Source organism: Homo sapiens, chromosome 6, assembly GCF_000001405.40.
Source record: "Homo sapiens chromosome 6, GRCh38.p14 Primary Assembly".
NCBI lineage: Eukaryota > Metazoa > Chordata > Mammalia > Primates > Hominidae > Homo > Homo sapiens.
The window spans coordinates 10,034,585-10,060,000 of record NC_000006.12 but is presented as its reverse complement, the minus strand read 5'-3'; the positions used below and the strand labels follow the sequence as shown (position 1 = coordinate 10,060,000).

Below are 25,416 nucleotides of genomic sequence, written 5' to 3'. Positions count from 1 at the left end.
CAAACAGGAAATTGATGAGGGGGGGAGGAGGAATCAGAACAAATTAAGAGATATTTTCCTCCTGACATTCTTTTCTCAGGGCTTAATCTACACCTTTTGCAGGATGGAAGAATCTCAAACACATTGCCTGTCCGTGAAGAGTCTTTGTAATTGTGGATTAACTTTCTAGTAACCGGCATATATTCCAGATGTAGATTTAGTTTTTCTCAATGCATTTTTTTTGTATTTATAAATTTGCACATTCAAAGAACCCTTTAGGCATGGTGATGGCCTGAATGGCATTGACAGTCCTTATCTTCATGCTCAGAGGTGAAAAGCCAGGTGAAGAGCAGTACCTGCAGAACCATGTCTAAGAAAGAACTATTCTAATTTTGGACACTGCCCATCCAAAGGGCACAAACAAACACAATTTAAAAAATTTAATGGAGTAGGAAAAGAATAAGATTAGCCATCAAAGGAACTGGCCTCTGGTCTGCCTGGCACAGAGACAACCACTTAAGGTCTTGGAGCCTCAGTTTTTACTGCTTTGACTTGAGGTTGGCAGATGGCACGTGGCATGGGAGAAACATTGAACAATGATGTTGAACTAAGAGAATCTCAAAGATCCATTCCAGTCCTAAAATTCTTTTGAATCCTTTTATTTCCTTAGATGCTCTATAAATATGTTCTTAAAAGGTTAGCTCTGTTCTTTCTTTTTCTAGATCTTTGCCTTAAAGTTTTGATGAAGCACCGGGGTTTGTACCTGGTTCTTTTAACACTGTTTGTTTACACCTGGGCACAGACAAGGAGGGGCTGGAATTCATTGCCTCAATCCCGGCATGTTCCCCACCAGACTGTAGGCTGCTATAAATCATTTTACTAGGTTCTATTTCCTGAATATTTCTTTTAGGTAGTGGGGGAGGGTGGGCTATAGAATTCAAAACAGATTTATTCAAAGGCCTTTGAGAATAAACTGCAAGGGATGACCCAGCTGTTGCTGCTCCTGCATCACACAGTGAAGGACTCCCAGAGAAAAAGACTAATAATTAGTTTCATTTGTAGGTGAAAGAAGGTCTTTGAAGACGTCTGGCATTAATTATAATGGTGGGCACTGTTGCCATTTCCAAATCCTGCTTTGTAGATCACGCACTGTCATTTTAGAGAGGGCTTTGCATCTCCTCTTTAAGAGGAAGAGAGTACTTAATAGGGCATGAGTGGTAAAAGTCTGGACAGATACTGTGGGCAAGGTTAAATAACACATTACGTCCCTTTCTTGGAACACTCATCCTTGAAAGTTGAATTACAGGCTCCTCTGTGTAATAGGGGCTTTTCTCTTTGTCCTAAGAAACAGGCTAACGTTCTGAATGGCAGCAGCCGTGCAGTTGTGCTTCAACTACATCTTGCACTTGGTCATTGGCCTGAGTTTTTCTTTTCACCCTATTTTCTTATCACCTTGTGAATCCCTTCTATCCCTGCTCCAACCCCACATCATCCTAGTTTCCATACCATTTGAACAACTACTGAACTCTAAACACATGCTTTGTGAGACAAGCAACTTCAGATGCCCTGCTGGGTGACTTCACTGGCTACCAGATTATCAGCATCTGGAAATCCCCAGGTGCCATATGGCCCAGGGCCATAGAGTCTTTGGGTCCCATATGACCCAGTGGACTCCTAGGTCTGGTGAGTTCAATATATGGTGGGACCCAGGGCCTGAGAGGGCTCAAAGCATTGCTCTCACAAAGCTGATTCTACTCCTTCTCTGCTTTCCTACAACTCTACTGCTACTAGTACTAATTGAAATAACTCTTATTTACTGAGGCTTTACTGTGTATTAAGAACTACTTTTCATGCAGTCTCACATTTAATCTTTACAAGAAATTTGTGAAGTTCTAAAATACTTCCATTTTGTGCACAAGGAAACCGACACAGGGAGGCAAAATAATCTGTACTTGTTACACACTCAACATTAGAGTTGAATTTTTAATGCAGGAGGTTCTGATCCCAAGGCCCAGCTGTTAACCATGAGTGTTGCTAGCTATGTGGAGCCCCAAGAAGTCCTGTGATCCAGTGCTCCATTTGCTTTCTGAATATTAAAACTTGTTGCCTCTTTTTGTATATCTGAGGCCAGAATATCTAATGGACCCCTGGGCCCCAGCCTCTTCTCCTCGCCGATTTATTGACCTGTCTCTAAGAATGACAGGTTTGGACAAGCACATTGTGTTAGTTATCAATGACTGGATGACAAATTACCCCAAACATGGTGGCCTAAAACAACAAGCCTCTATTATCTTACAGTTTTAGAGGATCGGGAGTTTGGGAGTGGCTTAGTTGGGTGCTTCTGGCTCCTGGCCTCTCTTGAGGTTGTAGTCAGTTCATTGTCTGAGGCTGCACCGTTTGAAGGTTTGACTGGACCTTGAGAGAAGGCTTGTGCCCTTGGCTCTTGGCTGGAGGCTTCAGTTCCATGCCAAAACTACCTCTCCACAAGGCTGCCTGAGTGTCCTCAAAACAAAGCAGTTGGTTTCCCCTGAGTGAGTATCCAAAAGAGTCCCCAAGACAGAAGCCACAGTCTTTTCAAAACCTAATCTTGGAAATGACACACCTTCATTTCAGTGGTGTTATGTTTACTAGAAGCCAGTCACTAAATCCAGCCTGCTTGCTCTCGAGGACAGGGGAATAACACTAGGCTTCCTGAAGACAGATGTATCAGATAATTGATGGACATATTTTTAAAATCACCAAATGGAGATACCTGAGAAGTTACTTCAGGCAAGCAGGTCTTGGTAACCTCAGGACTGAACTTCATTTATTGAGATATCTAGGGTAGAAAAGAGAACATTCTACTTAGAGTCAGGTAAAACTGTTCCAATACAGCCTTTGCCAGTTATAAGTTGTACTAGCTTGGATGACACTCAACTGGTGCTTCAGTTTCCTAATGTGGAAAATTGAGATGATAGTGCTTCATTTTCGTGTTATGAGAATTTATAAATTAGAAATTCTGTGAAAGTGCTCTGGAAAAAGCTCCCAACCCAAAGAAATGATAAATGCTTGAGCTGATGAATATGCTAATTACCCTGATATGATCACTATATGTTGTATGTATTGAAACATTGTTCCCATGAATATGTACTATCGTTATTCATCAATTTAAAAAATAAGATTACAAAAGATATAGAATCAGGTACACAAACCTGAAATGGATATTCCCAACAAAGAAGAATCTATTTTTATATAATTTTATTATTTTCCAACTGTGAAAATAACAGGTTCAGCACGTTAAAATACTGAAAATATAGGACTACAGAAAAGGATATAGAACTAAAAACAGTATATAGAACAGAAAAATATAGAACTACAGAAAAGTATAAAACTTTATCTTAATTTTAGAATAGAATAAAGCCACACTTAATACCTCAAGAAAAGCTATGAAAATAGAAAGTACGTTTGAATAATTTTGAATATTAGAAAGCTCAACGTTGTGTTTATGTCTCCTGGATAATACAGAAATAATAATTTAGAGCTAAAAATACATCTAAAATTCTCATATTCTTTTCCATTTAGCAGAGTATTTATTGAGTTACCAGAAGAACTTTCCAATAAACTTATATCATGGGCTGTACTAGGCGTAAGGAAAAGAATGTTATTAAGTGTGTAACAATGCACGTATTTTGGTCAAGACAAAAGCAGCCATTAAGACAGTTAAAATAAGCAGCCGGATCAGAAAGTGTAATTGAATATTTGAACCTATAGAGAAAAGACATCAGTGCTAATTAACAAATTATCAAACTCACACAGTTTTAAAGATAATTTTATAAAACCTATTTCTCCTTAAAGAATATTGCTGTCAACAGTTCCTGTCACTGAATACTAATGCAAACTTTTCCCATTCCCTTCTACAAAGTAAACAGAAAAGAGAGAGAGAGAAATTGTGATTGTAAGGATTTTATTTGGAATCTCAACACAGTGAAATTTGCATAAATTCTAATAAAGCAAAATTAAAATCCATTAACACTTGTCTCTGGTAATTAACGTAAGCTTGCTGTTTTAAATGACAGTGTTTCAGACATATGGAGCGAAGTAAGGATGGGAAAATGCAGAGCCATGGAAAAATATAAAGATTATAAACTAAGAATGATGTTACTCAGAAAGCCCCCAATTTTAGGAAGGAAATAAAAGTTATTTAGGCTTTGAAGAAACACTGAAAAATGCTTTCCATTTTATAATGTATAGATTCACTCAATTTTCACCAGATGTTTATTTTACAAGATACATATGACATTTACATTTATGTACATTAATGGTAATTTATTACTCAATTTTAATTACTACCCTCTGGAGGGAACAGAAGTGTTGACAAATATTGATTACTTAAGATGAACTACAGAAAACCCATATTTTCTGGTTGAAGAAAAAAGAATTTAAATTTTCTTTTTTGTGAATTCCTAAATATTTGAAGGAGTTAAGCCATAATGCATTGAGAATTAATATTTTGAACTTATTGATGTATTACCTCATGTTTAGGTCAAATTAGTTATTCTAGATCAAGTACATTTTGCTAAAATGGAAAATAAGTTTATCTGGAAAAAAGATAACAGATAAACTTGTCTTTAAAAGATCTTGTCTAGGATCACTGATTGCAGTTGCACCTCAATTGGAAGTGAAAACAGTGAAAAAACAAATGGAAGGAAACAAGAAGGTATCTTGGTGTTACAGTGACGGTGGCAGTGGTGGTGACGATGATAATGAATTGATATTTCTAGGGTACTTACTAGGTACCAAATACCGTGTTACTGTATTTGCAACAATATTCCTTATTTGCAACAATATAATTATACTATTACTACTAAAATGATAATAGCGATTTTTTTTGAGCATCTACTGTGTGCCAATTTTGGGCACTTTGCTAGGCACTTCACCCAAATTATTTCTAATCTTTATTATGATTCTGTAAGGAATGTATTATATTTCCTGTTTCATATGTGAGAACATTGAAGCTCAAATAATAAAAGTAGAATTTTCTAGCCACATAGTTTATAAGTGCAGCAGCCAGGGTTCACATATATATCTGTCTTGCTCCTTATCCTTTTCCATTTCACCACTCTTCAGTCTCATATGCCAACTTAGATTAATGATAGTATTCATAACAGTAATGAGAGTAGTGACATCATCACCACTATCATCACAGCCTACAATAGAAATTTATATCTGTAGAACATAATGTCTCAAAGTTCACTTGTGTTGTAGCATATGTCAGAATTTCCTTCCTTTTTAAGGTTGAATAATGTTTCATTGCATGTTTATACAATATTTTGTTTATTTGTGCATCTTTCAGTGGACATTTGGGTTGCTTCTACCTTTTCACTGTTGTGTAATGCTAATATGAACATGGGTGTGAAAATATCTTTTCAAGACCCTGTTTTCAATTCTTTTGGGTGTTTACCTAGAAGTGGAATTGCTGGATAACATGCTAATTCTATTTGTAATTTTTTGAAGAACTACCATACTGTTTTTCATAGTGGATGTGCCATTTTATATTCTTATCAATAGTACACAAAGTTTCCATTTTCTTCAGATCCTTGTCAACTCTTGCTATTTTCTGTTTTTCTTATAGTAACCATCTTCATGGGTGTAAAGTGGTATTTCATTGTGATTTTGATTTGTATTTCCATAATGATTAGTGATGTTGAGCATCTTTTCATGTGCTTGTTGGCCATTTGTACATCTTTTTTGTAGAAATGTCTATTCAAGTTCTTTGCCCATTTTTGAATCAAGTTGTTTGTTTTTGTTTTAGGACTTTTGACTTGACTTGTATATTCTGGATATTAACTTCTTATCAGATATGTGATTTGTAAATATTTTCTCCTATTGTGTGGGTTTTCTTCTAAGAGTTTTATAAGTTTAGCTCTTATGTTTGTCTCTTTGATCCATTTTGAGTTAATTTTTAGATACGTTGTTAGCAAAGGGTCCAACTTTATTGTATGTAGACATCTAGTTTTCCCAGCACCATTTGTTGAAAAGACTGTCTTTTCTACATTGAACGCTCTTGTCATTGTTGTCAAAAATCATTTGACTATGTATACAAGGATTAATTTTGAGCTTTCTATTCTATTCCATCGGTCTACATGTCTCTCTTTATGCCAATACCACACTGTTTTGATTACTGTAATTTTGTAGTAAATTTTGAAAACAGGAACTGTGAATCTTCCAACTATTTTTTAAAGATTGTTTTGCCTATTTGGGGTCCCTTGAGATTTCATATACATTTTAGAATGGAGTTTTCTATTTCTGCAAAAAATGTTCTTACGAATTTGATATGGATTACATTGAATTTGCAGATTGCTTTGAGTAGTGTTAACATCTTAATAATATTAAATCTTTCAATCCATGAATAGAGAATATCTTTTCATTTACCTAAGTCTTTAATTTATTTCAGCAATGTTTTGTAGTTTTCCTTGTAAAAGTCTTGGTAAAATTAATTCTTAAGTATTATTTTGTTATTTTTGTTGCTATTGAAAATGAATTTTTTTTTCTTAATTTTCTTTTTGGGTTGTTTATTGGTAGTTTATAAAGATCCCACTGATTTGTGCATGTTGATTTTGTATCCAATACTTCACTGCATTCATATTCTTTAGTTCTAACAGTTTTTTTGTGGGTGTTTGCTTGTGCGTGTGTGTTTGAGATCTTTAGGGTTTTCTACGTATACATATAAGATTATATCATCTGCAACAGAATGATTTTACTTTTTCTTTTCCAATTTGAATGACTTTTATTTCTTCTTCTTACTTTATTGCTCTCGCCAGGACTTTCAGTGCTATGTTAAACAGAAGTGGCAAAAGCAGGCATCCTTGCCCTGTTCCTCATCTTAGAGGAAGAGCTTTCAGTCTTTCACCATTGCATATGATTTGGATGTGGGTTTTTTGTATGTGGCTTTTATTATGTTGGGGCAGTTAACTTCTATTCCTAGTTTGATGAGTGTTTTTGTCACAAAAGGGTGTTGAATTTTACTAAATAGTTTGTCTGTGTCAATTGAGATGATCATGTATTTATTTTTCTTTCATGCTGTTACTGTAGTATATTACATTGATTAATTTCCATATGTTGAATCATGCTTGCATTCCAGGAATAAATCCCACTTGGTCATGGTATATAATCCTTTTATTATGGTGCTGAATTTGGTTTGCTAGAATTTTATTGAGGATTTTTGCATCAAAGTTCATTAGATATATTGGTTTGTAGTTTTATTTCCTTGTAGTGTCTTTATTTGACTTTGGTATTAGGGAAATGCTGGTATCATCGAACGAGTTAGATGGTGTTTTCTCCTCTTAAAATTTTTGTAAAAATTTGAGAAGGATTGGTGTTAATTTTTCTTTAAATGTTTGGTGGAATTTTGTGTTTTGGTAAGTGTCGTGTTTCTAGAAATTTGTTCATTTCATCTAGATTATACAGTTGGTTGGTGCATAATTGTTCAAAGGAAACGCTTAACGATTCTTTTTATTTCTGTAGCATTGGCAATGTGTTCCCAGTTTCATTTTTGATTTTAGTAGTTTGAGTCTTCTCTTTTCTTCCCCAATCTAGCTAAAGGTTCACCAATTGTGTTAATATTTCCAAATAACCAACTTTTGGTTTCATTGATATTCTCTGTTGTATTTTTTTATTTCATTATCTCTGCTACAATTTTGATTATTTTTTTCCTTCTCCTAGCTTGGGGTTTAGTTTGTTCTTCTTTTTCTAATTTCTTAGGTTGTAAAATTCAGTTGTTGATTTGAGGTCTTTTTTTTTTTTTTTTTTAGTATAAGCATTTATAGCTACAAATTTCCCTCTTAGCACTGCCTTTACTCTATCTCATAAGTTTTGATATGTGATATTTTCATTTATATTTGCCACTTTCAACATATTTATGTCTTTAGATCTAAAGTTTGTCTCTTGTAGACAGTGTATGGTCGATCATGTTTTCCTATTTGTTCTTTCAAACTCTGTTTTTTGATTGAAGTGTATAAATTAGATATAAATTCCATTTATATCTAACATAATTACTGATAAAGAGAGGCTTACTTCTGTTATTTTGCATATGTTTTCTATGTGCCTTTTAGATTTTTGTCCCTCATTTCGTGTATTATCATCTTCTTTTAAATTTAATTATTGTTTTTATAGTGAAACATTTTAAATCCTTTCTAATTTCCTTTTGTATATAGTCAATAGCTATTGTGTCACAAAATTGGATTTGTTACATTTTGTGTACCAAAACATAGACTAATGATTTTCCATACATTAATCTCTTAAATCATGTAGAAAACAAAAGTGGAGTTATAAAGTTACAATAATGCTAGCTTTTATAATTACCCATGTACTTACCTTTACTCTGATCTTTACTTCTTATGGTTTTGAGTTACTGTCTAGCATCTTTTCATGTCAACCTGAAGGAATTCCTCCTACATTTCTTGCAGGGCAGGTCCAATGATAATGAACTCCTCTGCTTTTATTTATCTGGGAAAATTAATTTCTCCCTCATTTTTGAAGAATCATTTGCTAGATATAGGATTCTTGGTTGACAGTTTTTTTTTTCTTCTTTCAGCTCACTACATTCTGAATTCCAAGATTTCTGATGAGAAATCTGCTGATAATTTTCTTGAGGATCCCTGGCATGTGATAGGTCACTTCTCCCTTACTGCTATTTTTCAAGATTTCCTCTTTGTCTATTGAGAGTTTGATCATAATGTGTCCTGGTGTAGATTTATTTGAATTTATCCTACATAGAGTTCTTTGAGCTTCCTGGATGTTTATATTCATGTCCTTAATCCAATTTGAAAAGTTATCAGCTGCTGTTTCTTCAAATTATCTCTTTGCCCCTTTTTCTTTCTCTTCTTTTTCTATGACTCCCCTAGTGCATAAGTTGGTCCGCTTGATGGTGTCCCACAAGTTCATTGGCTCTGTTTACTTTTCTTTAATCTTTTTTCTTTCTGTTTCTCAGACTTGATCAACTATTTTATCATCAAGTTTACTGATTTTTTTCTTTCGTCTCATTAAATCTGCTTTTGAATCCTCTAATAAATTTTTCATTTAATGTAATTGTACTTTTTAGATATAGGTTTTCTTTCTAGTTTCTTTTTATATTTTCTAGCTCCTTATTGATATTTCCATTTTGTTTGCGCATTATTTTCTAGACTTTCTCCATGTTGTTCTTTAGTTCTTTGCACATCTTTAAGGCAGCTGTTCCTTGTCTAGTAAGTGCTATCTAGTTTCTCTCAGGGACAGTTTGTGTTTATTTATTTATTTATCTGTGCATGGACTATATTTCCTGTTTCTTTGTATGATTTTGCTTTCTGTTGGAAACTAGATGTTTGAATTTTATAATGTGGTAACTGGAAATCAGACCCCTGTTTTCCCCAGGGTGTTCTGTATTATTTTGCTTTCTTTCCTTGTTTCTTTCTTTGGTTGTTGTTGGCTGTCTCTGTGCCAGGGATGTGTAAACTTAAGTTTTTCTCAGTTATTCTCTTAGCCTGCACCTTTCCCTAGATGTGTATGGTAACTTTCTAAATTCCTTTTTAAATATGATTGCTTTTGAATATCCTAGTTCTTAAATATCTTTCTTAAATAAGGGAAAAAAGAGGAAAATAAAGGGAGAAAAATGTGCTGGCTAATATCCTGGAAGTTGCTTCAGCTAGAGGGGGAGGGCCTTGCCAAATGGCTGCCCACCTCTGTGTCTGCATTTCCACAATCAGTCATGTTTTTTGTGGTACTAATTTATTTACCATTATATCAAGAGTGTTTTCCTTCATGGATGCATTTGTTTTTCTTAGAAGTGGTATGGGTCATAGAATTGTATGACTTAAAGGACATGAAATGTCATCTTCAGGGGATGTCTACTTTTTTAAATGCCAGCACCTGAAGGATGTAACATAATTCCATAGATAAAAGGATTGTCAAGTGGGCAAGGGTGGGAAATATCATTTTAGAGAAGAGTAATTTTAGAATCTCAAGAGGCTGTAGTTTGAAATAATCCTTCCCTCTGAAGATAAACAAATTATCGTCTTCTCTTTTTAACCCTACTCTCTGATAACAACTTGAGAGACCCCAAATAGTAAAAACCCTTCTATTTACAATGGCAGAAACTGAGACTCAGGAAGCTAAATAACACATGGGTAGAGGCAGGGGTGAAACCAAGATCTAGCTCAGTGCTTTTCTCATTGATCCTGGCTTTTCAATAAAACTATCAGAATGGCAGAAACTTCTTCATTGTTAATACATTTCAATTTTTACCTTAATTTTGCCCAACTAACATAGAAAACTTAATTGTTTCAATTAATATAGCAAAGTGTCATGCCAGGCACTTGGGGGAATAGAGAAGACATAAAAATATTTAGCTTGAAATTACTTTATAATCATAAAGCTAAATATATACATATACTATCTACCTATAAAAATTAAAAATTAAAAAAAGCTAAGCAAACATTTATTTCAATCCTCATTCCTTTCATTGTTGTGATTGGAAGCAGCCAGTAAGTCTTCCTGTTTGTTTTTGGTATGGAATAAAGTTGAAGTATTACTATTTCTATTTAGTAAACCAATAATCCACTTCTCAAAATAAGGTACATTATTTCCTACAGTTTACATTTTGCCAGTAGTAGTCAAATCTTGATCATCAATATTCTTTTCTACTCAGTAAAGGAACTCAAATTCACCTTTGAGGACCATTTGAATAGCTAGAGATTTCAAAATGCCTTGAAATGAATAAATATTTTATGAAATACTAATTATTAATAGTAGTCACTCTTCTGTCAGTTACCACCTCACCTCATCATCCCCTCACATCCAGGACTTGAACATTTCTAGTTAAAATTAGTATATAAAACATTCCCATGCAAGGCTGCTGCATTAGGCCGCTCACTGTGCACTGAACACCCTCAGGGAGCACCATTGAAAATGACGTCATCTTCTATAATAAACAACACCACGTTTTTAAGGAATACTGCTTTAAATAAATTAGTATGAGCTCTTCCTGTTATTTCAAGAGTGGTTTACTTGTTATAATTCAAATGTGGTAACTGTCTGAATGTCTCCTGATGGCAGGGTTATGAAGGACACAATTTCAAAAATTGGAAAAATAAATACTGGAATGAATAGGTGATGGGAGATAGGACTTCTGTTTCTAATCCTTTCACTGGTTTGCCTGTGGATGTTGAGCAAGTTGTTTAGACACTTTTTAGCTCACTTCGTTCTTCAAGAAGCTATGGCCAGTGATGTTTGCTTCATAGTCCAAAGGGGATATTTGACAATATGATTCATATACTTTGCAATTCTGAGATAAAACTGGGCACTATAGACATCCTTATTGTAGACTTTAATATTTACAAAGTTAACACTAGAACATGTGCTATGGTATTACTGTGAGACATTCCTTTTCTCGGCTGCACCAGGTACTGAATTCACTGATTTCCTTGAAACCTGAGCCATGGGCAGATAAGGGTGAGGGCTGTCGCACAACTGGGAAAAGAGTGCTAACTGGCCATACTGCAGGGCTCAGCATTACTGTGGCACCCATCTTCCTTATTCTCCCCCCTTCCACCTGTTGGGGTCTTTGGTAGCAAAATGGCTTCAAAACTGAGAGGGTGAGCAGAATCTGAGGGAAATTACACAAGGAGACACCATCTGAGAATTAGGGATCACGTCCTACACATCCTTACAAACTTTGCCTTACCTGGCAAGGGGCCTTGCATCTGGCATCAGTGCACAGGTACTTTTAAAATCAATGTGCCAATGAGACATATGTTTTCTTATCCTATTGAAAATGGTAAGTTCTTAATATGCGTTTCTTGAATATTAATGAATAGTTTTTTTATCACACTTGTAATTTAGAACCCTTTGCTATAAAAGTAAAAGGCACTGTTCAGGATATCTTCTCTTCTGGTTTTCTGATTTTCTAAATACTGTTTGTTTTTTCAGAGTGCACACTATATCATATTTATATAATTCAGTTACATAAATAAATATGTGTGTATATGTATGTATGTGTGTGTATATCTGACAATTATTATGATTTTTCAAAGCTCATGGTGAAATTCCAGACCAAACCAAAAAAAGTGTCCAAAGGGCAATGCTGGTTGACATTTCCTATAAAGCCTTCAGAAGTTTTAAGGATTTAAAATTTTCTCAGGAGATCGAGAGAGAAAGAGTGTGTGTGTGTGTGTGTGTGTGTGTGTGTGTGTGTGTGTGACTGACTGTGGGCAAGATGTTTCTGCCTGCTCCTCTGAGCTCCATGAAGAACTTGTAGAAACAGGTCTTCTTTTCACAGAATGTTAACATGTTGTTAAGTCTAATACAAAGGCAATGACTTCGAATATAATGACAAATCAATACAAAGCTTCAAATGAGGGCTTTTTAAGGACTTTACACTGTCAAATAAATATCCGGCTTAGCATTAAAGTCTGACTTAAAGAGATGAGCATAAATACCACATACCTTCATCGACTAAAATTAACACAGAATGGAACCTTTGTCACACACACCCAATATTTGTCCTTTTCTTTTGAATGGGGCTATTATTTAACATTTGTTGAACCAGATCTATGCAGTGCACAAACTGCTTTCTGTGATAACTTGAACACTTCTGTTAATGGAATTAACTTGCACACACAAGAGGATCCCTTTTAGTACATCACAGGCCTGTGCACTCTGGAGTCAATACTTTCTCTTTGTCTGGAAAATTGTAGGAGGTCCTGTTTTATTTTAAGAAAAACCCAAAAAGAGTGAAACCACTTTATGTAGAGATTTCTCACCTGCTACTTTGAATAGTTTGCTTCCCCTCGATCCCCTCCTACCTCATGAACTTTCGAAAATTCTTGTTTGCAATTATTTGTTTAAAATATCAAAATCAGCAGTTCTGCATTGATTTTTTTCATCTCTATAAGCCATTAAATGCACAGAGTTGATTATAAGTTGTTTTCTAAGGCAGTGATTCCCAAATCTTTATTTCAGTAGTCATACCTGACAGGTAAGGTTTATTCATGTGTCACATTCCCTAATTCTTTCAGTTTTCTTTGTATCATTTATGACACAGATGAAGGACAAAGAGGGGGAGAAGGAAAAAGAAAAATTTTGGTTGGTGTTCCTCTTTATTCAAGAACATTACTGTGCACACAAATATATGCTTTTTTTCCTAGAGATAAAATACAGCATCCAAACTTCAATGAGTCAACTGAGATAAAAATACTATTTTTTGTTGGCCATGATTGAAGTTCTCTCTCTTGCACCCCCCCTCCCACCGTCTCTTTCTCTCTCTGTCTTTTTGCATAAATCACAAGCTTGAAGCTTCATTTATTATTTCCAGCTTATCTTTCTTTAAAGTGGAACAAGATAATGTAGAAATTATGTAGATTTTATTTTTTCCTAATTTTAATTTTTGCCCTGTTTTGACAAATTCTTCACTTATAACTGACTTGATAACAGTTTTTCCTAGTGACTTACTTTTATTGAAAACATGTTCATTTCAGTGGGTGCTGATAAATCAATTATCGTTGAACTTTCTCTTTTTGCATTCAGATTTAACTTTTAATAAATAAGTACAATTACCTAATTAAAAATATAGCACATGTGACATAAACAGGGTTGAGAATATTTATTTTTTTCCTTTATATTTTTCTTTTTAACATTTAAATTCATATTTAGGTAACTATGTTTGCTTTGTACTGTTAGTAACAGAAAAAACTTGAAACAACTGAAGTTTCTATTAATCATGTTCTACCTCTCTTCCTTTTCACTAGGCAGATGAGTTAGAGAAATGTGAACATATGCCTGGGAGCATCATTTTTGTTCAAGTTTCAAGTTAGAAACTTCATGGGAGCATTTCCACATAAGTAGGGCTAGTAGAAAATTTATCTTTTAACATTATTTAATTATCATTAATTTCTTTCTTCTCATCACAAAGGCAATATTTACTACAGATAAAATTTTAAAAGTAGAAAACACAAACAAAAAGAAGGCATACTTGTCTGAAATGAGTTAACAACAAACTAAACAAAAATGAGAGAGTTTGTGTATGGGAGGGCAAAGATTTTCTGAAAAAAGAAAATGATTAAAAATTAATGAAAGTTACAAAACTTTGCATGCATCTCTGCTGCATGAAAATCTCTTATACTTGAAGATCAAATGATCAGGAAACATAGGTTATCTATTTTCATGTGTTCCAGAGGTTTCTCATGTAGGCCATATAGTTTTGGCATGACAAGTTCTAATTCCTCTTTTACAATCTAAGTTCAGTGATGCTTTTATTATCATAAAAGTCAATATCAATTTTTTTCCAACTGGGCATCTTGTTTCTGATTATATGAAACATTCTTTTATTACTTAAAAGTATAGCAGAATTTTAGAAATGTTCCCAAAATAGTGAACTAAACCCTTGAAAAACTGTGATAGCCTCTTGTTAAGAATCACACAACAGTGGAAATAAAAAATAAACAGGTGGTTCTTCAAATGCAGCCAAAAAAGGACTAACTGCGTTTAACAGAGTTAAAACGCTCATGCATTTTCTGATTTAACAGATTGACCCTTCCTGGGGCTTTTATTTTACTTAATACTACAGAGTCAAACAGTATGTTTTATTAAGTATGGTACTCTGGCATTTTGTGGTATGTGTGCGTGTGTGTGTGTGTGTATGTGTGTTTGTGTATGCTTACAAGTTCAGTTCACTGTTTTGGCCAAATTATTTTCATAACCGTAGTATTTTTGACTAAACCACTTAGTTTTTCACTTTGCTGGTTAAGTGGTAGAGATGGAATACAAGCTATGGATCACCTGGCACAAAACCCCATGTGTTTCATGCTACAAAATGGATACTTGAATAGGATAATGAACCTTGGACTATGCTAAGTGAAATAAGCCAGTCACAGTGGACAAATATTGTAATTCCACTTCTATTAAAGGCACACAGAGCAGCCAAATTCATAGAGACAGAAAGTAGAATGGTGATTGCTAAGGGGTGGGGAGAGAGAAGGATGGAGAGTTAGTGTTTAATGCATACAGAAGCTCAGTTTTGGAGGATGAAATAATTCTAAAGTTGGATGGTGGTGGTAGGTGTTCAACATTGTGAACTTGCACAGAACTGTATGCTTCAAAATGGTTAAGTTGTAAAGTTCATATTGTGTTATTCAACTATAATTAAAAATGATTTAAAAGAAGCTCATGCATTTTCTGATTTAACAGGTTGACTCTTCCTGGGGCTTTTATTAATACACATTTGATAATATGTAATTTATTTTTATTTTAGCATATCAATTTTAAAGATCTCTGGAAATCAGTAGTTTAATTCATGAGAATATTCAACATATAGTCCCAACTTGAGATAATTTCTGAAGAGTCTAAAATGGTGATTACCATTGGATTGGAAACTAAATCAAGGTCATATATAAAAACCTTAATGATTCCTTATGTGTGATTAGTGTTTGACAGTGTATAAAATGTTTGAGAGGGGAGCTAATTTTTAAAATTGTCACAATAAACTCATGAGTATTATCTGTATTTTTATGGATTAGAAAATGGAGGCAGAGAGATAAAATATCCCATAGAGATAAGTGAGTCTTCTGACTCCACTGCTAGTAGTTACCATTTAGCCAAGGAGAGAGAAGAAATGAACTAACAAGCATGGCGGCCTTACCAAAAGCAACACCAAATCCTGACTATGGCCTCTTTAGGGAGCGGGACTCACATATTAGGGCACATTAAACATACTTGCAGGACAAGGGCCATGGTGCAGGAGGGCAGAAAACACACAGGGAAGAAGGGTGTGAGGGGATATACATGGGGTCAGTCCATGTTAAGTCTGATTTTTGGAGCTTCCACTTTGTAAAACCTCCATAATGCACAGTAGCACCTAGGGGGATAATCCATTCAACTTAATAGTGAAGCCTTAAATTGATAATCAGCGAACTCTGTTTTGTCCCCTAGTTCCGTAACTGTTTTAGTGCTTGTAATCTTGCATCTCAAGAATCTTGCATTCTCTCTCTCACACACACACACACACACACACACACACACACACACACCCCTAAAGTAGACAACAAAATCCAAGCACCCCAAACACAGCCAACACAGAATAAACCCTCACTTTTGTGTCTGGATGGAATGTCTCCCCTTATGTGTGAGTCTGTTGTCTTTGTATTAGATGGTAAGTGCCTGGTAGGCGGGGACCCTGTCATTCTGGATTAAGTCTCCTATAGGCTTAGTGAGTCACCACAAGCCAGGGAGTGCTTATTAGACATTACTTGACTGACTGTTAAGACAAGTAATTAGGCCAGGAGAAATGCTAATTTTAAAATGTCTGTAAATTCCCGAACTTCACACGAGGAAAGTCCAGTGACCTGGGTTAGCTCTTGGGAATTAGTAATGTGATACAGAATCTTTCCCCTTTGTGTCACCTGTTACAATTTGGCCTCCCTTTTATGTGACTGGAAATCATTACCAGCAGGTAGCTCTACCCAGCCTGGTGTCTACAACCAGAGTGATGTGGAAGATCCTGGTGACATGGGGCAGGTAACAATCTGCATTTATCAATTTTCCTGGATTGTTCAGACAATTCGATCACTCCACGAAGGCCTGTGAGCCCATTTTGGTGGATCAGCATTGCGGTAGGTTACGAACTGAGTTTGAGGACAAACAAATCTTTCTTTTATCTAAGGCAAGGTCTACAATGGTCCATCCTTCCTTTTATTGATGTTATAAGAAGATGTATTTTGATAGGATAATCTTATAGTAGAAAAACACCTATTTGAAGAGATAGGAGGCTGAACAGTGCCTAGAATGACAATATAGGGGATCTTGAGGGAGCTAGACTTTCTCACATCACATGATATACCTCACAGGAAATTTTGGGAACCACACTGCACGTTTTGGCTACATTAAAATGGTGTCAGGTATTTCAGTTACCAAAAAAAAAAAAAAAGTAAAACATTGAAGTGTATATTGCTGGGCTCCCCCTAAAACACGGGAAAAACAACTCTACTTAAATAGAGATGCTATGGTTTTGTGGAAAAATGAATGGATTTCGAATTAGAAGAGCTGATTTTGCAAACTAGCTCAACTATCCTAGCTGGGTAATTTGGTCAGTCTGAGCCTCTGTCTTCACCTATACAAATGGAAACAGGAATATATGCTTGGAAAGGTGGTTATATCTGCAAATAATATGTATAGATGCACCCCCCTGCACCACCACACACCTCTAGAAGTTAAAGCTTAATTCTTCTCCCTTTGAATAAGCCTTCACTTAGTGACTTGCTTCCATTGAATAAAGTAAGGAGAGAGGAAAAATTGTAATTTACAGTGTGAAAAACTGTCAAATGTTACCTTACCTAAGTGATCAAGGTCAACATCACAAGTGGTAAGTGATGCTGATGTTACATGCCCTCTGAGATTCTGTAATGAAACGGACACTTCATCTCTGTGATTTTCTTTCCTCAGAACACATAACTCAATCTAACCGTGAGTAAACACTGGACAAACACAATTGAGGGACATTCTGTAAAACACCTGATCCAGACTTTTCAAAATTGCCAAGTCATGAAAAACAAGGAAAGATTAGAAACTGTCACAGGCTGCTTGAGACTAAGGAGAGATGACAAATGTAATGTGGTGTCCAGAATTGGATTCTAGAACAGGAAAAGAACATTAGTAGCAAAATCGTTGAAATCTGAGTAAAGTGTGTAGTGTAGTGAAGAGCGTTGTACTAATGCTAATTTCTTAGTTTTGGCAAATGTATTGGTTATTTATGTAAGATAGTAACATTAGGGAAGCTAGGTAAATTACCAGGATAAGAGAACTCTGTGCTATCTTGGCAACTTTTCTGTAAATCCAAAGTTATTCAAAAGTAAAATAAGAAATAAAAAGGTGATATGACAACTGAGATCATGTGCAAAATAGGACTTTGCAGATGTATAGGACTATACAAATGTAAGTAGTATTTTTTTTTTAATCAGAGTATCTGCACTTTGACCTTCGAAAACTTAGGTGATCCACGCGGACAATCTGTGATATATCAATAGTCAAATCCTGGACTAATAAATAGTGGGTAGTTTCCCTTCTTTCCCCCTCTTTAGTCTACGAAGTAAATTAGTTTGGGGTTAACGATGACTAGTATCTCCAGAGTGACAAGAATTTTGAGGAAGAATTCAACTACTATCCATTCATTCTATTTGTAGGCAGCTCAGGTCATGACTTGCACATTAATAATGAAGTAATTGATAGAGTATATAAATATGTAAATTTCATTTACACAAACTTGGACAAAATTGGGCAGTAAATTATAAATCCAGAATCTACAAGGTGTCTATAAAGATTAAGGTAATTTTCCATTTTCTTTAGAATTGGCAGCACTAGCTAAAGCAAGATCAATATTAATTAAGAAACCTAGAGAGAAGAATAAAAAATTACTGAAATTGGATGGTTAACAGAACTTGTTATGTAATTCAGAAGTTAGAACTGTAGAATTGGAAGTGGAAGCGACCTTAGAAACCATCTGCTCCAATCTTCATATTTTAAGGTGGGAATAAGAATATTTAATTTACAGATGCTGAAAGGCCGTTTCAAGATCATTCCACTGGTTAGTAAAGACACAGAACATGGGTTTACTGTCCCACATATTCCTCTGAGACAGGGATTCTTTATGGGGGCCCATGAGCTTCAGGAATCTCTGAATACTGGGAATTATAGGCATAAACTTACCTGTATGTGAATATTTGAATTTTTCTGAAGAAGACCTGTAGTAGCTTCTATCAGATCCTTAAAGCAGCCTTAACTCTCGGAAAGATGAGAGCACCTGCTCTCGAATTCAAAACCTTTGCTCATTATAATGGTTCCTACAACATTCTAGAATCATTTAAATGCTTCTAAAACTTGCATCAGATTTTAAATGAGCAAACAGTAGCTCTGGCCTAATTGGTTCCCAGAAGTTACCATATTCCTTGAGGGAATCAGATTTTACCTGGACATACTATCCTTTTTTTCCTAAGAACAGAGTAGTCTTCTGCTATGGTCTCAATGTGTCTCCCAAAATTCATATGCTGAAACTTAATAGCCAATGTTATAGTCTTAAGAGATGACGTCTTCAGGAGGTGAGTAAGGCATGAGAAGTGTACCCTCATGAAAGGGACTAGGGCCCTTTTAAACGGGCTTGAAAGAGTGGGTTTGCTTTCTTCCATCCCTTGCACCAAGTGAGGACACAGCAAGAAGGCACCATCTTGGAAGCAGAGAGCAGGCCCTCACTAGACACCAAGTGCCAGCACTTTCCTCTTGGACTTCCCAGCCTCCAGAACTGTGAGAAATAAGTTTCTGTTCTTTGTCAATTACCCAGTATGTGGTATTTTTGTGTCCAGAGTTGGTTCTTGCTGGTGGGTTTGGGGTCTCGCTGACTTCAAGAATTAAGCCGTGGACCTTCGTGGTGAGTGTTACAGTTCTTAAAGATGGCACGGACCCAAAGAGTGAGCAGTAGCAAGGTTTACTGTGAAGAGCAAAAGGATAAAGCTTCCACAGCGTGGAAGGGGACCCCAGCAGCCTGCCACCGCTGACTGGGGGTGGCCAGCTTTTATTCCCTTATTGTCCCCTCCCGTGTTCCGTTTCTGTCCTATCAGAGTTACCTTTTTTCAAACCTCCCCACGATTGGCTACTTTTAGAATCCTGTTGATTGGTGCATTTCATAGAGTGCTGATTGGTGCGTTTTACAATCCTCTTGTAAGACAGGAAAGTTCCCCAAGTCCTCACTCAACCCAGAAGTCCAGCTGGCTTTACCTCTCATTTTGTTATAACAACACAAACTAAGACAGCTTCTGTCTATGAGGTAAAAGATAAATGATGAATTGAGCGCCTATTATGTACAGATCCTTGTTCTGGGTGCTTTATATATATTAACTAATTTAATCCTTAACCATTATAACAGGGAGGTACTAATATTGTTGAACTTTATAAATGAAGAAACTAAGGTACAGAGGGGCTTCATAACTTGCCTGAAAGTCACCAAGCTCCTAAGTAGTAAAGGCTTTTTTTTTTTTTTTTTTCTTTTTGAAGCCAAGCTTTAGGGCCTGTACTTGTAACATCATACTGTGCTTCTTTATTCTTGATATATTGTTTATTTGCATGGTGTGTTGAATAAGCAAGCCTTTTACCGACTTTCTTAAAGTGTAACCGTGAAGGTGACAGAATGTAGGGGCAAAAAAGTATGGGTTGGTAGGTAGAATTGTATAAATGCAAGTAGTTCTGTCTTTTCCTGCTGCTAGCTTACCTAGGTCAAGTAACTCCCCTATTCTAAGTCTTGCTTCTCCAATCTCTAAAATGAGGCTGATGATAGTGTTTATCTTATAGGGATGTTCAGAGGATGTAATGAGATAATCTGCTTAACATTGTATATGCCAAATAGCCTATTCTTTTTAAATGTTAGCAATTATTATTATAACTGGATATACAAATTTGAATTCACTTCATTATATGCTTTTCATCAAAAAAAAAGTGGAGCAAAAAGGTGGGTAATGTTAACATAGGTTAAATGAAGTAGATATCAGTATCAATTGAATTCACCAAGATTTCAACTCACACTGATATCTACTTCATAAATTTCTGAAACAGCAATATAAAAAGTTACCATGGCTGGTAGAAAACAAACAAAAACCCCACTAATTCAACATAATCCAATGTCTTTGAAGGATGGACATTTTACTTTTAGAATCAGATGATGTCAAATGCCAGTGACTGCTCTTTCATTGACACTTAGGTTTTTTTGGAAACTGTAGAACTGGTGTTTGATGTACTAATATACTTCATTGTACTTATCCTGTGGCCTGAAATACAATTGCAAAAATATCACGTAATACATGATTAAGGAGTAGCTTAAATGAGGGGAGTTTATGCCTTATTATGCAAAAATGGGTAGGAGTTATCAACATTTAACATTCAGATGAATGATTTATATAGCACACTTCAGGTATAAAAATTACAAATTATGGTGATTCTTTGCTCTGCATTCATATTCTAACATGGTACCCAGTGAACTCATCTATAAATTGCATGGAAATTCTGATTTATAAAACACTGCTCCTCAGGGCTTTCCTCCATTCATTTTGCCTTTTGCTTTCTGGTTACTCTTAACACTTTGCAGAGGATCAAAGCAGCATTCATACAGCGTATCAATGCATGTCAGTGGTTTGCATTTGTAGATGTACAGAATCATGGCATCTTGTTAAAAAAAGGTGTGTCCTCAGGAAAGGTGCTGAAAAGACATTGAAATAAACTATGTCTTTTTTATGGATCCAATTGTGTTTTGAACAGACAAAATGCCCTACAACTTTAGAGTCTTGATAGCTGTATTGATGCTGGGTGATTCCAACTTCAGAAATCAAAAAATAGAAAGGAGACATTATAAGACCTATATGAGTTCTTCCTCCTGCATTTAACCCTAGTGTACTTCTTTGAGATGAGATGATGTATCCAAGTTGAAAGTCTGAAAGCCTGAGGGGTATGAGCTTTTGTTTTGGGATTTGATGTGAGATCACATGTAAAATTTTTGATTTGGATTATCTGTCCTAGTCTCCTGATTTGTATAATATGAGTAAGAAATACATATTTTAGGAGAACGAAACTTCCTAATTCAGTAGATTAACCTCTGTTGTTCCAGATATCTCTGTTCTTTACAAATTAATGGCATTAGACAATGTTACTAAGAAGAGAGTTAACTACTAATTCTGCCTTATCAACAGGAATATCTTATGAAAACATCAGGAGTGTTTCATCTGAAAAACTATGTTATTGAATCATTGACTCTAGGTAAGCATTAGTCAAAGAAATTTTCAATTTGAGAGTTGTAACATCTCATTTTCACTTAAAGCATTTATTAAGGCCCCATTTTTCCAGGGAAAATTTCAAGGTACTTTTGAAAGTTCCCTCTATTCTTTGAACTTACCTTTTTGGATAAAAACAACCCTCTAGATAAAGCAGACATCTTCAGAGGAATGAATCAGTTTCCGGAGGAATCAGGGCTCCCAGGACAGAGTCATGTGGAGAGGGAGTTGTGGGAACAGCCCTTTAAGGGGAAATTGCTAGCTTTTTTCTAATTAGTCAGAAGCTTAATAGAGGAAATAGGATTTCAGAAGTTGTTTGAGTGATGGAAACAAAAGAACTTGACTAAGTGGGGCATGTGGAACATGCCAGGTGTGAGGTGCAAGTCAGGAGAAGATGAGGGGAGCAAAAGCATGATAACATGTTTAAATGTAATAAGAAACACAAAGAGTGGATGAAAGGTTGTAGGGGCATTATATAAGTGAAACAGCATGGTATGTGTTCTTTGCCACTCATATGAAACTCTTCTCTACTCCAAATACAATTTTAGTGTAACCACCCCAGTCAGGCATAGTTCTTTAGCAGATTCTCCCTGTTCCTAAAGGACTCTAACTCCATTACTCTCAAAGCTACGTCCACAGTAATTTTTCAGGACACTTGAGAACTAGTTAGTACATTGAGGTTCTCCAAGAAATAAAGTGGGGGGGGGGCAGATTTTCTTTTATTCAGTAATTGAGCACCTGAATGAAAAATTACCAAACATTTATTGAGAAACACATTTATTTACTGTGCTAGAGACATGAGAACCAATGAAACAAAGTTCTTCCTCTTTACTCTGGGGGATAACAGAGGTAGCAATAGGCTTCATCTGCACAGACGTACACACGGGGGTAGCAAGCAGACCTGAAGGAAAGACATCCAGAGAGAGTGGGAGGTAGTATTTTAGCAGATCATTGGAGAGTTAGTGCCAATTAGCTAAAAGTAAAGAAATAATAAGAGATGAATATGGAAAGATTGAAACAATTTTTAAATCTATAATTAACATGTGGTCAACACATGGCTGTCAAAATGAGAGACAGTGGCAAATCCAAAAACACTGGTTTTACGGCTGGAAAGATGAGATTATGATGTTATATATGTTTGGTGAAGCTGAGTAGAGTGGTGGGATATTGAATGAAGATGAAAAGCTCTGGCTTAGATGGTACAGTGTTTGATAACTAGTAAGCTAGTGGGCTAATCGCTATGTCTCAGATATTGTTAAAGTAATAGTTAGTGGTTATTATTGTCTTCCAGCATCTGAATCTAGCTTAAAAGAGAAGCGTGCTTGGAGCTAAATTTGAAAGCTCATCACAACCATATGAAATGAAAACAAATTCCTATGATTATTGATGGCTGTGGATGACAGAGATGATATTTATTACCACAGACAGCTAAATTTCTATGTATATCAGAGGAGAAACAAGCAAAAACTTTTGAGAAGTAAATGTACTGACAGAAAATGCCTACATAGAAAACGTGGTGGTCAGGAGAAGCGACTTGCACAGGCAGCCTCCTTTGGGATGGGTTTGTAAGCTTCACCTCCCTATTTCTAATTTCCCCTCTTGTGGTGTTCTTAACAAGAGTCTCTCCATATTTTTCAAGAGTTTATTACTTTGGGAACATTACTTATGGGTATTTTCCGTAATCAGAAATCTTAATAGCTTTTCAAACTCTTTCACTTTTCTTTACATGTGGAAATTAGTTTAGAAATATCAGCCATTGATAATTCAAGAAGCTATAAAGTGGAGAACAATGTTTAGTTGGGAAAAAAGTAACTGGCTTTGGGAGCATAGATTCAGGGCAACTTAAATCAGTGCTCCCAGGTTGCAGCCCTTAAGCTTGACCCCAATAAACTCTCCATGTTTATGTATTTAAAAAATGTAACTAGCCTGGACTGATGCTAATATTAGTTATTCAACATTAGATGGCAAAAAAAATTTTAAAAGTTGTCATGTTAGCCTCCCTCATGGTCCATCTGCAGAAGTTCTGGGATGAATGCATATGGTTGATTCCGGGGTCAGGAACCATGCACTGACTGTCCTTCTAACCTCTCTCAATCCTGCCTGATAGAGGAGTTCCTTAGCCCTTTTTTTTTTTGAGACAGAGTCTTGCTCTGTGGCCCAGCTGGAGTGCAGTGGCACAATCTCGGCTCACTGCAAGCTCCTCCTCCCGGGTTCACACTGTTCTCCTGCCTCAGCCTCCAGAGTAGCTGGGACTACAGGTGCCCACCACCACGCCCAGCTAACTTTTTGTATTTTTAGTAGAGACAGTGTTTCACCGTGTTAGCCAGGATGGTCTCGATCTCCAGACCTCGTGATCCACCCTCGAAGATCCCAAAGTGCTGGGATTACAGGCATGAGCCACTGCGTCTGGCCCTTCACTGCTTTTGAAGAAAAGATTTTTAGGGAAATCCATGAAGAGTGTATGATATCAGAGAGTGTTACTAGTTAGAGGGAAGATAATTGTTGAAGAGGGTCACTGAGAGTGGAAGCATTTATTTATTTTTATATTTCTGTTGGTAAGAGGTTTGTGTATACGATGACATGCTCAAACAGTACCATAGCATATATAAAGGCTTCTGGCTGTTCAAAATTCCTCACTGTTTGTTTGTTTTTAAACAACACTATCGCCCTTCAAATTCCAAGAATTTATAAGAAATTCTTCTTTTATTTCTTGATCAAAAATGTTGTCAACTGAGTGCCTTTGATCTCAGCTGGATATGGGCCTGTCAGATTAAATAATTCATACTAACTTGTGAATGACTAGTAGGAAAGATCTGCCAAAAGATATTTGCTCCTTAAAAATTGAATTTGTTAACCAGATCAAGCCTGTAACTGGCTATACATATATATATATGTGTATATATATACACATATATGTGTATATATATACACATATATATGTGTTTATATATACATATATATACACATATATATATATTTCTTTGAGGGGAAGAGTGCTTAGGGTGCTTTAGATAAGACTTAATTTATTAGGTTATTTATCTCTAAAGCTATTTATTTCCCCTCCTTTTTAATTAGTCTATCAGGAAATAAAGTTTATACAGTAAATGTTTCGCAAAGATAATTGCACATATACTTTGTCTCCTTTTTGTAAGCAATATATTGATGTAAAGGAATTTTTGAAAAAAAATAATTGTCTCATCATATGTTGATGATTTTTTTTTTTTTTTTTTTTTTTTTTTTTGAGACAGAGTTTCGCTCTTGTCGCCCAGGCTGGAGTGCAATGGCACAATCTTGGCTCACTGCAACCTCCACCTCCTGGGTTCAAGTGATTCTCCTGCCTCAGCCTCCCGAGTAGCTGGGATTTCAGGTGTGCACCACCACGCCCAACTAATTTTCATATTTTTAGTAGAGACGGGGTTTTACCATGTTGGCCAGGCTGGTCTCCAACTCCTGACCTCAGGTGATCCACTCGCCTCCCTGTGCAGGGATTACAGGCGTGAACCACTGGGCCTGGCCTTGATGATTTTTAATTACATGATTTTTCTTCCAATCTTTGCTTATAGTCATAGGCACATTCTGATGTAGTTGCAACCATAACACAGTTATGCTTGAGAATCCAGTGATGTAATGC

General features: G+C 35.8%; 1 long non-coding RNA gene and 1 pseudogene across 2 annotated transcripts in view; one reads left to right on the top strand and one right to left on the bottom strand.

Annotated features, from left to right (window-relative positions):
* Positions 1–18,802, bottom strand: part of LOC105374919 (uncharacterized) — a 21,159-nt gene extending 2,357 nt beyond the window's left edge. The window contains exons 1-2 of the long non-coding RNA XR_926457.2: positions 18,685–18,802; positions 2,732–2,797 (exon numbers count right to left, since the gene is read on the bottom strand). This is a non-coding gene — a long non-coding RNA (uncharacterized LOC105374919). The remainder of the gene's footprint in view (positions 1–2,731; positions 2,798–18,684) is intronic.
* Positions 1–25,416, top strand: part of OFCC1 (orofacial cleft 1 candidate 1 (pseudogene)) — a 506,631-nt pseudogene that overhangs the window by 151,608 nt on the left and 329,607 nt on the right. The gene's annotated exons all lie outside the window — the stretch shown is intronic.